The sequence below is a fragment of the Homo sapiens genome, chromosome 13 (genome assembly GCF_000001405.40).
Source record: "Homo sapiens chromosome 13, GRCh38.p14 Primary Assembly".
NCBI classification, from domain to species: Eukaryota; Metazoa; Chordata; class Mammalia; order Primates; family Hominidae; genus Homo; species Homo sapiens.
Genome location: NC_000013.11, coordinates 49,743,584 through 49,758,881, shown reverse-complemented (window position 1 = coordinate 49,758,881; position 15,298 = coordinate 49,743,584). Strand labels below are relative to the sequence as shown.

General features: G+C 38.2%; 1 protein-coding gene across 2 annotated transcripts in view, besides 2 other annotated features; it reads left to right on the top strand.

Moving 5' to 3' along the window:
• The window catches only part of KPNA3 (karyopherin subunit alpha 3), a 93,363-nt gene that overhangs the window by 33,801 nt on the left and 44,264 nt on the right, over positions 1 to 15,298 (top strand). For both annotated transcript variants that reach the window (NM_002267.4, XM_017020561.2), the window contains exon 2: positions 11,889 to 11,933. In NM_002267.4, coding sequence (NP_002258.2) covers positions 11,889 to 11,933 — 45 coding nt within the window. The remainder of the gene's footprint in view (positions 1 to 11,888; positions 11,934 to 15,298) is intronic.
• Positions 7,996 to 8,496: an enhancer, noted in NCBI's record as "H3K4me1 hESC enhancer chr13:50324522-50325022 (GRCh37/hg19 assembly coordinates)". NCBI's record gives its function as "activates a minimal SCP1, AML or CMV promoter by ChIP-STARR-seq in primed H9 embryonic stem cells {active_cell/tissue: H9 hESC(primed)}" and the evidence as "EXISTENCE:reporter gene assay evidence [ECO:0000049][PMID:30033119]".
• Positions 12,435 to 12,729: a silencer, noted in NCBI's record as "tiled region #10165; K562 Repressive non-DNase unmatched - State 23:Low". NCBI's record gives its function as "represses a minimal TATA promoter and a strong SV40 promoter by Sharpr-MPRA in K562 cells {active_cell/tissue: K562}" and the evidence as "EXISTENCE:reporter gene assay evidence [ECO:0000049][PMID:27701403]".

Here is a 15,298-nt window from a genome sequence, read left to right as displayed (position 1 = left end):
CTGATTTGGTCACTGTTTCTAGGCGTTGGAGATACACATCTCCAAGTAGACATCTTGGGGTGGATAGATATAGGATTAAAACAAAATTTTGTGTGTGTGTGTATGTATATAAACATATGTGTGTGTGTATATTTATATGTATACATATTTATATGCATATTTATATACATACATACACACATAAACACACACATATAATGCATATATTGATATTCCAATTCAAATTCAGGACTATGGGATTTTACTAAACAACTTCTATCATATATCCGTCTTTCTCCTAGGCCAAACTTCCTGTTTTTTTCTGACACCAGGAATAATAGAATATGACATTTTTACTCATTTGCTTTATTCCACATAGACACATAACAGTCTCAGAATAACAACACCAGCAGCGCTGCACCCAGTAATAGGGTTACCGAGAACAGTTTGGAGTTTTCCTGGTAGTTCTCTTTAGGGTTAACTGGAGATGCAGGGTTAAATTGCTGTGTTGAAAAGTTACACAGGATAGTGTGATTATGCTACCAAATGGATACACGTTTAGGTTCATTTCTTTATTTTTAGGGATTGCTTTTCTTGTTAAATTTGATTTTGTCATATTCATACGCAGTTTATTTTCATGGTTTTAAAGTCAAGTCCTAGTTTCCTTGTCATCACCTATATATTTATGTGTAAAATAATCATTGTATGTGATCTGTTTTATTTTTTGTTTTAGTATACTTTTGGCCTCTAGTTTGTGGTTTTGTTTTTGTTTTCTTTAGTCCTCTCTTTCTTAGTTATTTTCTATTGATTCCCCATCATGTACATTATTGAAATTAGTTGTGACCTTCTCTTTTCCTTCCCCCTCAGCATCTGATGTATATCCTTTAAAATTTTTATTAAAAACTGACCTTTATTTTGAGGTGATTGTAGATTGACATGCAGTTGTAAAATATAACACAGAGATCCTGTTTATCCTTTCTCCAGTTTCCCCAGTGGTAACATCTTGCAAGATGCTCGTACAGTATTTATGTTCATCCAAGTCATTGTTTGTATCAGCAGTTTGTTTCTTTTAATTGCTATATGGTGTTCCATGGTATGGATGTACCACAGTTTAAGCGTGAAGGATACCTGGGTTGTTTCCAGGTTGTAGCTATTAAGAATAAAGCTGTTGTAAACATTTGCGTACAGGTTGTGTGTGTGTGTGTGTGTGTAGATGAGTTTTCATTTATCTCATATAAATGTCCAATGTGTAGTTGCTGGGTCCTGTGGTTGTTACATGTGTACTTTAAGAAATGGCCAAAGGTGCTGTCATTTTACATTCCCACAAGCAATGTATGAAAACTCTCCATACTCACCAGCATTTGAAAGTATCACAATTTTAAATTTTAGATGTATAATAAGATTTCATGGTGGTTTTAATTTGCATTTCCCTAATGGCTAATAGTATTGAACATCTTTTCATGTGCTTATTTGCCATGTGTATATCCTCTTCCATGAAATATTTTTTCATTTCTTTTGCCCATTTTCTAGTTCCATTGGTTGGTTGGTTACCTGTTGAGCTTTGAGAGGTTTTTTGTTTTTGTTTTTTAATTCTAGATACTAGTCCTTTCTTGGATATGTGGTTGCAAATTTTTTTTTTTTAGTCTCTAGCTTCTCTTTTTATCTTCTTTACATGGGTGTTCAAAGAGCAAAATAGTTTTTTATTTTGATGAGGTCTAGTTTACCAACTATTTCTGTTATGGATCATGCTTTTTACGGTCAAGTTTAAGAACTCTTTGCCTAGCCCCAGATCCCAAAGAATTATCTCCTGTGGTTTTTCCTAAAAGTTTATAGTTTCACATTTATTTTGAATTAAATTTTTTTTAAGGTGTGAGGCTTAAGTCAGGGTTAATATTTTTGTCTGTCAATATCTATCTGGTCCAGCACTGTTTGCTGAAAAGTCTATTGATGTCCTCCATTTAATTGCTTTTGCACCTTTGTAAAAAATCAGTTGGATATATTTGTGTAGGCTTATATTGGGTTCTCTGTTCTTTTCAATGTGTATATTCTTCCACTGATATCACACAATGTTTATTACTGTAACTATGTAATATATCTTGAAATTGGCTAGATTGATTCCTTCCACTTCGTTTTTCATTTTCAGAATTGTTTTAACTATTCTACTTACTTTGCCTTTCCGTATAAATTTTAGAATAATTCTGTATCTGCAAAATATATTGCTGGGATTTTGATAGGAATTGCATTAAACCTGTATATCAGTATGAGGAGAATCAACATCTTTACCAAGTTGAGTCTACCAATCTATGAACACAATATGCCCCTCCATTTTTTCTCTTTTTTAAGCTAGAAACAGGATCTTGCTCTGTCACTGAGGCTGGAGTGCAGTGGTGTAATCATAGTTCACTGCAGCCTTGAACTCCTGGACACAAGCGGTCCTCCTGCCTCAGCCTCCCAAGTAACTAGGACAATAAACACTTGCCTCCATACCTGGCTAATTTTTAAATTTTCTGTAGAAGCTGAGTCTCGCTATGTATGGTCTTGACCTCCTGGGCTCAAGCAGTCCTCCCTCCTTGGCCTCCCAAAGCACTGGGATTACTTGAGCCATCATCCAGCATTGTTTGTTTGTTTTGAGGCAGGGTCTATCTCTGTCGCTGTGGCTGGAGTGCAGTGGCACAGTCTCCACTTACTGCAGCCTCCGTCTCCCGAGCTCAAGAGATCCTGCTACCTCACCCTCCCCAGTAGCTGAGACTACAGGCATATACCACGATGCCCAGCTAAATTTTTTTTTGCTTTTTTTTGTAGAGATGAGGTTTTGCCATTTTGCCCAGGCTAATCTCAAATTCCTTGGCTCAAGCAATCCACCTGCCTCGGCCTCCCGAAGTGCTGGGATTACAGATGTGAGCCACCACACCCGGCTGTTGTTTGTATTTTTAATTTCAGTGTCTATGTGTTCATTGCTAGTATATAGAAATATAATTGATTTTTATGTTGTATTCTGTGACATTGTTGAACTCACTTAATAGATCTGGAAAGTTTTTGGTATATTCCTTGGAATTTTTAAATCATCTTTTCTGCAAATAATTGATTGTTTTCTTTATTTTATTTTTTATTTTGAGATGGAGTCTCCCTCTGTCGCCAGGCTGGAGTGCAGTGGCACGATCTCGGCTCACTGCAACCTCCGCCTCCTGGGTTCAAGCGATTCCTCTGCCTCAGCCTCCCGAGTAGCTGGGACTACAGGTGTGCACCACCACGCCCAGCTAATTGTGTTTTTAGTTGAGATGGGGTTTCACTATGTTGACCAGATGGTCTTGATCTCTTGACCTCGTGATCCGCCCTCCTCAGTCTCCCAAAGTGCTGGGATTACAGGAGTGAGCCACAGCACCTGGCTGGGATTATTTTCTTTCTTTTGCATCTATATGCCTTTTACTTTATTTTCTTGCCTTATTTTACTGGCTGGAACTTCTTATACTATGTTGAATAATAGTGGTGAGAGTGGACACCATTTTCTTGTTCTCAATCTAGGGAAACATAGTATTCAGACTTTTCACCACTAGAATGTTAACTCTAGGCTTTTATTTTTCTGAGTGTTTTTACTATAAATGGATGTTGAATTTTGTCATTTTTTTCTGCATTGAATAATATAATCATTGATTTGTCTTCATTAGTCTATTAGTATGGTTTATATTGATTGATTTTCAAATACAGAACCAGCCTTGTATCACTAGAATGAAGCCTGCTAGTATAGTGACTTCTAGTTGGTAACATTTTGATAAGGATTTTTGTATCTGCAGTCATTGAGAATATTGGCCTGCAGTTTCTTTTTCTTCTTTTTTTTTTAATGCTGTCTTTTCTGGTTTTGTTATTCAGGTAATTTTGTAATTAGCTTCATAAAGTGAATTGAGAAGTGTACCCATCTGTTTTTTGTAGAGATTATATAAAATTGGTGTTAGTTCTTCTTTAGGCATTTGGAAGAATTCTCTAGTTAAACCATCCAAACCCTGAAGGGAAGTTTTAAAATTACAAATATAATCATCTTAATAGTTAACAGCGTTATTCAAATTAGGTATTTCATATTGAGTGAGGTGTGATAGTTCTTGCTTTTTGAGTCATTGGTCCATTTCATCTAAATTGTCAAATTTGTGTGTGTAGAGTTGTTTGTAGTTTTCCCTTGTTCTTTTGATGTCTGCAAAGTCTGTAGTGATAGTACCTTTTTCATTTCTAATATTATAACTCTGCATTTTCTCTTTTTTTTTGGCCAGTCTGCTGATTTTTTTTTTTTTTTGAAAGAACTAGCTTTTCATTAATTTTCTCTACTTTTTGTTTTCAATTTCATTGATTTCTGTTTATTCCTTCTGCTTGTTTTGGGTTTGTTTTGCTTTTTATGTTGTAGGGTGTCGAAGCTGGGAGTTTTGATTATTGGTTTGAGACTTTCTCTCTTTCTTAATGTTTGCATTAGGTGCTTTAAATTTCTCTCTCAGCACTGCTTTAACCTCTTTTCTGCTCTACTTCAGCATCTGATGTGATGCAATTTCCTTTTCTCACCAGTTAATAGTTAATAAGGCAATCAATACACTTAGTTGTTTTTTTGTTTTTATTCTTCTTGAGATGGAGTCTTGTTCTGTCACCCAGGCTGGAGTGCAGTGACGTGATCTCAGTTCATTGCAGCCTCCACCTCCCAGGTTCAAGCAATTCTCTGCCTCAGCCTCCGGGAATAGCTGGGATTGGATTACAGGTGCAACCACCACACCCGGCTATTTTTTGTATTTTTAGTAGAGATGAGGCTTCACCCTGTTGGCCAAGCTGGTCTTGAACTCCTGGCCTCAAATGCTCCACCCGCCTCAGTTTCCCAAATTGCTGGGATTACAGGCGAGAGCCACTGCACCTGGCCCACTTACTCAGTATTTCATATGCATGTTTTGTCTTCCTTTCAATTTTGTGTCTACATTGTCAGGGCATGTAGCAGTTAAATACTGTATTTTTTCCCTTATAACAGTGGTCCCCAACCTTTATGGCACCAGGGGCCAGTTTTGTGGAAGACAGTTTTTCCATGAATGGCGGGTCGGGGAGGATGGTTTCGGGTTGAAACTGTTGCACCACAGATCATCAGGCATTAGTTAGATTCTCATAAGGAGCACACAACCTAGATCCCTCACGTGCTCAGTTCACAACAAGGTTTGTGTTTCTATGAGAATCTAATGCCAACCGTGATCTGACAGGAAATGGAGCTGAGGCCATAATGCTCACCTCCTGCTGCTGTGCAGCCTGGCTCCTAACAGGCTATATGGACTGGCACCAGTTCACGGCCCAGGGATTGGGCCTACCTTATAAGGACTATTTAATCTTAGTTCTACAGGTAAATAAATTCATTGCTCACGGTCACCTTTTATCAGTGTCTCTCCAGTTATTTTGGTTGTGTGGTGACCATTCTCTATTAGATTCTTCAGAAAGTGCTCATATAAACAGTAGTCCTTGAGTTGTGTTTATAACAGTTGTTTTGCCACTTGTATACTTTAAATTTAGTGGTTCTGACTGGATATAAAGTCCTTGATTCACATTTTCAATATTTTTTGCCTAATGTCCAGATGCAATTTTCTCTTCTTTTCTTTTTGGAAGTCCGTTAGTTTCACTTGTATATTTCTCAGTGTTGGTTTTTCTGGATGGATTCCCCAGGTACTTGGGTGTACTTTCAGTATTTCAGTTCAAGTCTTCTAATTTCAGGAAGTTTTTTTTGATTTATAGTTTTAAGTATTTGCTCTATTTCATTGCTTCGGTTTTCTTATTTGAGGAGTCTTTATTATATGAATTTAAAATCTAAGTGCCTTTATTGTCACTTCCTTCTGATAATTTTCTTTTTTTTTTTTTTTTTTTTTTTTTTTGAGACAGAGTCTCGCTCTGTCACCCAGGCTGGAGTGCAATGGCGCAATCTCGGCTCACCGCAAGCTCCACCTCCCGGGTTCATGCCATTCTCCTGCCTCAGCCTCCCGAGTAGCTGGGACTACAGGCGCCCGCCACCATGCCCGGCTAATTTTTGTATTTTTAGTAGAGATGGGGTTTCACTGTGTTAGCCAGGATGGTCTCGATCTCCTGACCTCATGATCCGCCCGCCTCGGCCTCCCAAAGTGCTGGGATTACAGACGTAAGCCACCGTGCCCAGCCCTTCTGATAATTTTCACCTTCATTTCTGATTACAGTTTTTTTCTTTACATATTCTGTTTCTCTTAAGCATTATCTGTTGTTTACTGGCTCTTAAGATTGCTCTTGGCTAGGTTCCTTTCTGAAATAATTTTTTGCTTTATTTCTAATTCTTTTTTGATTGCTAGGACCTCATTTCTGAGTTTTTCTAATTCTGATTGATAATGTTATTTCACATTTTCTATCATTTTCTAGGATAGTTTTTATCACTTTTGTGTATATGTCTTTTCAGTAGGCTTTCAATAGCAACACTCTGTTTCCTATTCTCTCATTTCTTACAGCATGGGCTTCAACGCCAATCCTTTCCTGTCCATTTTTTGATAGATTTTCCTGAACTTTTAAGAGCAAGAAGTGGGTCAGAGTAGCCTTTCTAGTTTCACCACTCAAGATCTTTTTCTTCTGTTGTTTGTTACAAGATGATTTTTTTTTTAAGGGGGTGGCATTGGCATCCTATTTTCTGAGGTCTGGCTCTGTTCATTGTAGGACATTGTCCAGGAAGAGGATTTTAGTTCTTTGATTTTGTGTCTAGCTCCATCATACTTAACAATGTTGATGTGTGCAAAAGATCCCTTCCATTTGCAACTGTTCTCAAGTTGCCTTTCCAAAGTCTCTAGTCATTCATGATTTGGGAGTTCTCTTGTTCTCAGGGTCTTCAATCGCCCCATAACTTCTGCCCTTCCATTTTCTTCTGCATATATGCATATGAATCCTGTAGCTGGTGATTTAACCAGACCCTGCTTGTATTTGAGAATTCGTTAGAATACTTTGTCTCCCAACCTTGTAGGTGTCGTTTGTTTGCTTGTTTTGGGGACAGGGTCTCTATCACCCAGGCTGGAGTGTAGTGGTATGATCATGGCTCACTGCAGCCTTGACCTCCTGGGCTGAAGCCATCTTCCTGCCTCAGCCTCCTGAAGAGCTGGGACCACAGGTGCACGCCACCACACCTGGCTAATTTTTAATTTTTTTGTAGAGACAGGTCTCACTGTGTTGCACAGGCTGGTCTCAAATTTCTGGGCTCAAGCAATCCTCCCGCCTCGGCCTCCCAAAGTTCTGGGATTACAAGCATGAGCCACTGTGCCTGGCCCTCTTGTAGGTTTTGTCTGTGGAGTTTAAGTTTGGCTATTCTGATGACATTTTTTGTGTGGGGCAGGGGATGCCAAGAGATGAAAAAAATCATTGACACATTTTATTCAAGAGAAAGATGACACAGATTTTGCATTTTAAAAAGAACCCCCCCGGCTGCATTGTGGAAAATTGATTCAGTGCATGGAAGGAGACTAGTTAGGCTATTTTAGTAGTCCAGATTAGATGATGGTGGCTTACTCTTAGATAGTGGCCGTGGAGCTGGGAGGTTTGAATCCTGTTCTGGTTGACTTGTTTGATTTCAGAGGATTGAAAGTGAGTAGACAGGGATAGTCTTCCAGGATTGGTCTCTTGAAACTATTTGGATGGTTGTACAGTTTCCTAACATTAGGAGTATTGACAGGAGAGGAGATGTGGGGGATCTTTTTGGTGAGGGTGTTAGGAAGGGAACAAGTATATTAGTTTTAAGCATACTGAGTTTGAAGCCTTTAAACCATCTCTCTTCCAGCCCTTAACACACATATGCACATATTTTAATTCTTTTGGGAGCTTTTTTCTGTCCCTCTGATTATATCTCCTCTTGATACAGATCTTAACATTTACTTTCCTATCTCAAGCTTAACACTTTTTTTTTTCGAGACAGAATCTCACTCTGTTGCCCAGGCTGGAATGCAGTGGCCCACTCGTGGCTCATGGCAACCTCCGCCTCCCAGGTTCAAGCAATTCTTGTGCCTCAGCCTACTGAGTAGCTGGGATTACAGGCGTGCGCCACCATGCCCAGCTAATTTTGATATTTTTAGTAGAGATGGGGTTTCACCATGTTGGCCAGGCTGGTCTTGAACTCCTGACCTCAGGTGATCTGCCTGCCTTGGCCTCCCAAAGTTCTGGGATTACAGGCATGAGCCACTGTGCCCGGCCAGCTTAACACATTTTTATCACTCATTATTACTCTCATTTCCACTAGACCAGGTGCTGGCAAACCTTTTTTTTTTTTCCAAGGCAGGGTTTCACTCTGTTACCTAGGCTGAAATGCAGTGGCACCATCATGGCTCCTTGCACCCTTGACTTCCTGTGCTTAAGCAATCCTCCATCTCAGCTCCCCCAAGTAGCTGGAACTGTAGGTGCACACATGAGCACAATGAGATACTACCTCTACAAAAAATGAAAAATCAGCTGAGCATGGCTGTGCTCAAGTGATCCTCCCGCCTCGACCTCCGAAAGTGTTGGGATTACAGGCGTGAGCCACTGCACCTAGTCTGCTAACTTTTCCTTAAAAGGACAAATAGTAAATATTTTAGCATTTGAGGGCAAAGAGGCAAAAATAAGAGCATGATGTAGGTACTTAATATCATTTATAATGTAACCACTTAAAAAATGTAAAAACCATTCCTGTTGGGACCTACAGAAACAGATAGCCTGCCAGATTTGATACACAGGTTATAGTTTGCCGATCCCTGTGCTAGACTGTGAATTCTGTACTTGCTTCCCGGTTGGCAAATGTATTGCCCAATGTATTTTAAATGTATTGAGTAAATTTTTGTTGAATGGGTGAATGACTTATAGATTAGGAGCTTAAGAGACAGAGTGGACTAAAAATAGATACTTGGGAGTGGTCATGAAGCAGTAATTGCAGACATGAGGGTAGATGAGATCACTTGGGAAGAATATAAGGGAGAATATAAGGGAGTCCATCTTTTTCTGTAATTTAAACAAAGAGCATAGTAAGTCATGACTAACTCAGAGGTACTTAGGTATGGTAGTCAGTACCTCCTCTTCTTAACTGACCTAAGTGAGTTTGGCCATTTACATTTATATGATTCTTTCGGGTGAATAAGTGGTCTTTAATTATTAGAGATAGGTGAGGGTAACAGATACTTTCGCCTTTGAAGTTTTGCTACTAGTGAGTTATATACACAAATCTTAGAATTATGCTGCATATATAAATATGTATTAGTAAGCAGTCACAAAAGTCATATGGTTCGTTTCATGGGTATAGTACTTTTAGACTGGAGATTACCACCTTGTAAGAAAACTTCAACCCTAAGCAGATACCACAATGTTCTGACTAGGATTAGGTGATACAGTTCTCTAAGAAGGGATGGAACACAGGATCAAGGGGGTTTCTAGACACAGAAACTTCTCTGAAGTTGTGCTGTAGGGCCTGCCGGATTCTTAGACCCCAAACAAGTAAGAATCGAGGTGCCTGTATTTCTAGTCAATTCGTATATCTTGAATAACTGTTCTACTTTAGCAGTAAAAATCTATTTCCAACTTTCCTTATGCAGAGTATCAAACCAGTGTCTATAAATTGAGATGTTCATATTCGAAGCACTTACTACCTGGGAGCTAACTCCTGTTTAGGGGTGTTTAAAACATTAAATTAATCACCTCTTAAGTGTGGTTTCCTAATTTAGTGTGGTTCTTCAGAATTTAACTCACTAATTCTGTCTATACAGAAATATCTTAGTGTGAATTAAGATGATAGAGCAGAAAATCATATTTTGGAGCAGATATGCTGCCTGGATCTTTTTGTTATGCATCATCTTTTAATAATTCATAAATAGTTAAGTGTTGCAAATATTGCAATGAAAATATTTTTCTTTTCAGTTATAGGAAAAATTGAAGTAAATATTCATTTAGGTAAAATTTTTAACAGTGGTAGAGTTCTAATCTTCCAGTGAATAAAGATAGCTTATAGAGTTGTCAAATAACACTTCATTAATGTTGGTATTTGAAGATTGTTCAACATTTGTCATTTTTATGAACTTATGCGTAAGACATTCTCTGTATTAATAGTACTAAAGTCACAATATAGAAACATACTAAATATAGAATTAAATTCAAGGTTCTTTCTAGTGTCGAACCTTATCAGGGATAATAGTTTTTATCAGTATATAATTCCATCACATGAAATGAATATGACTAATTTGAATTTTGTTTGGCAGTTTTGTTTCTATTTAATATATATCTGTATTTAAGTTTAAGTTTATATCTAGATTATTTCAGTATAGTTAGCAAACTTTATAATTTGGATTTTATGAGATTTTTTTTCTTAAGAAGATCACTGTGGTTTAAGAAAGAGATATCACAAGAATTATTAAATAAAATATAGCACACTGAACCTTGGCAGTATATTAAAATAATAATATACCATGATCATATAGCCTTTATTCCAATAATATAAAGATGTAACCATGCTTATATGTGTAATAAAAGAATCCATTATATCAGTATGTTAGAGGGGAGATATATATTATTTCAGTGTTTCCCCATAAGGCATGCCTGATAGATCCTCTTAAACTCAGAAGGATACCTTACCTTTTGATACAAAACATCTATCTCAAACTTATTTTTATTTTCATGTTTTTAAGGCCATGGCAATGAATTTACTTTTTAAAAATATGAATCATTAGAGATATAATTCATTGATTGCAGACATCAGAAACCATCCCTGGCTGACTTAAGCAAAACCATAATTTATTGGAAGAATGTAAGGTAGTTCATAAGATGAGTAGAGAAATGGAAGAACTGGGAATTGAGCAAGTCAAGGATATAGGCATTATTTACTACCTTGTCCAAAATTCTTCCTTTGGAATTTAATGTGCCTTTTTTTCCCTTTCTCCTTAAGATTCAGAGTTATAGAGGAGATAATTCTGATAGTGTAGTTGAGTCTTGTGACCTACTTAAGCTAGGAGAGAGTGAGCCACTTTAGGTCTCATTAAGACTACAGGATGGGAAGGATGTAATTCCCCAAAGATGACTGGGTACAGTTAGGGCAGGGAAATGGGTCCTAGGCAGCCAAGTCCCACCTTCCACAAAATTAACCAACAGATATCCAGTAAATACAGAATTTGGCTTTTTAACTAATTGTAGCTCATCATTTAAAGTATAAGATGTATCAGTCATTGAGATTATAAATTTCTTCTTATTTATTTATTTTTTGAGACAGAGTCTCGCTCTGTCACTCAAGCTAAAGTGCAGTGGCATGATCTCAGCTCACTTCAACCTCCGTCTCCCAGGTTCAAGCGATTCTTGAGCGTCAGCCTCCAGGAGTAGCTGGGAGTACAGGGGCGTGCTACTGCACCCAGCTAATTTTGGTATTTTTAGTAGAGATGGGGTTTTGCCATGTTGGCCAGGCTGATCTCGAACTCCTGGCCCCAAGTGATCCTCCAGCCTTCTAAAGTGCTGGGATTACAGGTGTGAGCCACTGCACCCAGCCAATATTAAATGACTTCTAACTCAAATACCTGAGTTTTTTTTTTTCTTCTTCTTCTTTTTTTTGAGATGCAGTCTCGCTCTGTCGCCCAGGCCTGGAGTGCACTGGCGCCACCTCGGCTTGCTGCATCCCCCCGCCTCCCGGGTTCAAGCAGTTCTCCTGCCTCAGTCTCCCATGTAGCTGAGATTACAGGTGCCTGCCACCAAGCCCGGCTAATTTTTTTTGTATTTTTAGTAGAGACTAGGTTTCGCCATGTTGGCCAAGCTGGTTTTGAACTCCTGACCTCAAGTGATCTGCCCGCCTCGGCCTCCCAAAGTGCTAGGATTATAGGCATGAGCCACTGCACCCAGCTGAGATCTTTATATACTAGCAGTGTCCGTATTTTGATACATCTGTAATCTTTGTTTTTCTTTTCTAGACAATGCGAAGACATAGAAATGAAGTGACAGTGGAACTGCGGAAGGTAAGGTTGATTTACATTTAAAGAAAAGTAATTAGATTTTTCTGATGTTAAAATTCTGTGTATCTTGAATAATGAAAATACTGTGGCAAATTAGTGGTCATCCCTAAAACCACACATCACTGGATACTTTATCATGGTACTTATTCATAATAGCTTTCATTTACTGAGGGTACTAGGCCCTGTGTGAAGCACTTTACCATCACTGAAATTCTCATAACATCTGATGAAGTTAGATACATTTTCTTTGACATCCTCTTTCTGTGGGCTTCCTCTCCCTTTGCTTATGTAAAAGTTACACATCCTTGTTAAAGATACTTTACAGAAGTAAATAAAAGTAGAAAAGTAGAAAAACCTTGTGTTTTCCCAACTGAAAGCAACTGCTATTAAAATTTATTGTATTTTCTTCCATTATTTTTGGAGGATTTTAGAGTTACCTTCATCAGATTGTGTTTTCTTTTTTCTCTTTCTTTTTTTGAGACAGCGTTTCACTCTGTCCAGGTTGGAGTGAAGTGGTGTGATCTTGGCTCACTGCAGCCTTGACCTCCCGGGCTCAAGTGATCCTCCCACCTCAGCTGGCTGAGTAGCTATGAATGCAGGCACACCACCACACCCAGCTGTGAATACAGGCACACCACCACACCCAGCTAATTTTTGTTTATTTTTTGTAGAGACTAGGTCTCACTATGTTGCCCAGGCTGGCCTTGAATTCCTGGACTCAAACAATCGTCCTTCTGTTGGGATTACGGGCGTGAGCTGCCATGCCTGGCCCAAATTGTGTTTTCATGTGAACACATTTTATTTGAAACAAATATTTAAATTGCTAATCCAGAAAATAATAGTGAATTCTCTTTCTTTACACGTTTCTTTTTTTTTTTTTTTTTTTTCTGATGCAGAGTCTCGCTCTGTCGCCCAAGCTGGAGTGCAGTACTGTGATCTCGACTCACTGCAACCTCCGCCTCCCGGGTTCATGCCATTCTTCTGCCTCAGCCTCCCAAGTAGCTGGGACTACAGGCGTCCACCACCTCGTCCGGCTAATTTTTTGTATTTTTAGTAGAGATGGGGTTTCACCGTGTTAGCCAGGATGGTCTCGATCTCCTGACCTCGTGATCTGCCCGCCTCAGCCTCCCAAAGTGCTGGGATTACAGGCGTGAGCCACCGTGCCCGGCCTATACATATATCTTTTAAAAAATAAATTTAAAACTTATTTCAGATCTTTGGTGTTTGTCTTAGGTTAGACTTTTCCTCATGTAATTCACTCCTAAAACTCCTTCCTATATTGAATTACCATCTTGGGCTGGGTGCGGTGGCTCATGCCGTCATTCCAGCACTTTGGGAGGCCAAGGTGGACAGATCACCTGAGGTCAAGAGTTCGAGACCAGCCTGGCCAACATGGTGAAACCCTGTCTACTAAAAATACAAAAATTAGTTGGGTGTGGTGGCACACACCTGTAGTTCCAGCTACTCGGGAGGCTGAGGCTGGAGAATTGCTTGAACCCTGGAGGCAGGGGCTGCAGTGAGCCAGGGTCACGCCACTACACTCCAGCCTAGGTGACAGAGCGAGACTCTGTCTCAAAAAAAAAAAAAAATTACCGTCTTGAAACTTTTCAGTTGTAGGGAGAAGGAAGGAGGTCTTGATTCTGAAAGTACACATTTTCTTAGAGTCACTAGAAATAGACTTGTGCATTTATTATTTAAGAATTATTTTAAATACACACTTTGTTTCATACACGGGCTAGGTAGCTCTTCAAATCTGTAGTTTTACAACAATATTGCCAGAAGCTCATTTTAACTACATTCATAAGGTCTTCATCAGAAATGCATTTAGTTATTCAACCAAGCATTACCATTTGAGCAATTGTCTCATGGAGGTGAACACTAGATAAATAATCACATAACCAAATATATCCTTACAAATTGTGGATGATGCTATGGAGGAAAAATAGCCATGAAAGTTAACAGAGTGAGGTTTTTTTTAAAATTGGGCATTCAAAGGTGACTTGTCTGAAGAAATAACATTTAAGCTGAAACCTGAAGGATAAATTGAAATTAGCTTATTTTTTCTAAGTGTTTAAATAACCATATTTTGAATTTTTGCAAATCAGTGTCATGCTCATTGGTATAGTATATAGTTCCTGACATCCATTCTCCTGTACCCTTTCCCCGCCCCCTTTTTAAAAGTAAATTTTGAAAATACTTGCTAAGAGTTGTAGTATATATTTACTAAATTTCAAAAAATTCACCTGAGGTCAAGAGTTCGAGACCATCCTGGCCAACATGGTGAATCCCTGTCTCTACTAAAAATACAAAAATTAGTTGGGTGTGGTGGCACGCACCTGTAGTTCCAGCTACTCACAACATAGAATATTTTCTATGTAATTAGTCCAGTAGCTCCAAAATTAGGAAATTAACAAGGAAGATCATTTTTTTGTTTCAATCATCAATGGATTAACAACTAATGATAGAATTATTTTGTCTATTATCTATTAATCATCAATCATTTTGTATATTAATAAACATTAGCATAATAAACATTAACATAAGCATAAAAATACTTGCTAATTCCCATTCCCTGTCAACTCCTTTATGGACACAACAATACTTTGGTAATCATATTTGCAAGTTCTTTCAGATCTTTGGGTCATTTAGACCAGAGAAATGAGCTAAGCCTTAGCTTAATAAAGTAAGGTGTTTTTTCCAGTCTTAACACTTTAAACTTTTTTTCTTTTTCACATTTTGTTGACATACACCATACATACAAAAAGTCCACACGTCGTAAGTATCCAGCTTGATGAATATTTGTAATGTGAACACATTTGTGTAACCACCAGCTCCTGGATCAAAAAAGAGAATACCCCAGGGCCTCTTTCTAGGTATTGGTTATCCCCAAAGGTAACCATTATTCTGATTTCTAACAGATTATTTTGCATATTTAGAACTCTATATAGGTAGAATAGTGTGCGTCCTTTTTTGTCTGGATTTTCATTCACCAAATGAAGATTACTTTCTTTAATAGATGCAATAGAAGTAAAATTGGAATTAAGTAATTAGTAATTATTGCCATCTGTTAACATTACACCATCTGCCACCAGATATGGGCCCTTACTTTTCCTTAACTTTTCACGCTTGCAATTCAACTTTAAAACTTTTGTATTAGTTCAGAAGCCTCCTCTTGTTTAATCATTTTAGCCCTTCTAATGTGCTTATAAATCTAAGCTACTAATTTATATATTATATTTGGTTACTTGATCCTCCTCCTGTTGTTGTGCTGCCTTCTCTAATTTATAGAACTAAAAATTCTTGCATGTCACAGCATATCTTTTTAAATATTCACCTTAGTTGCCTTAGAGACCCCTTTCTTTTTTTTT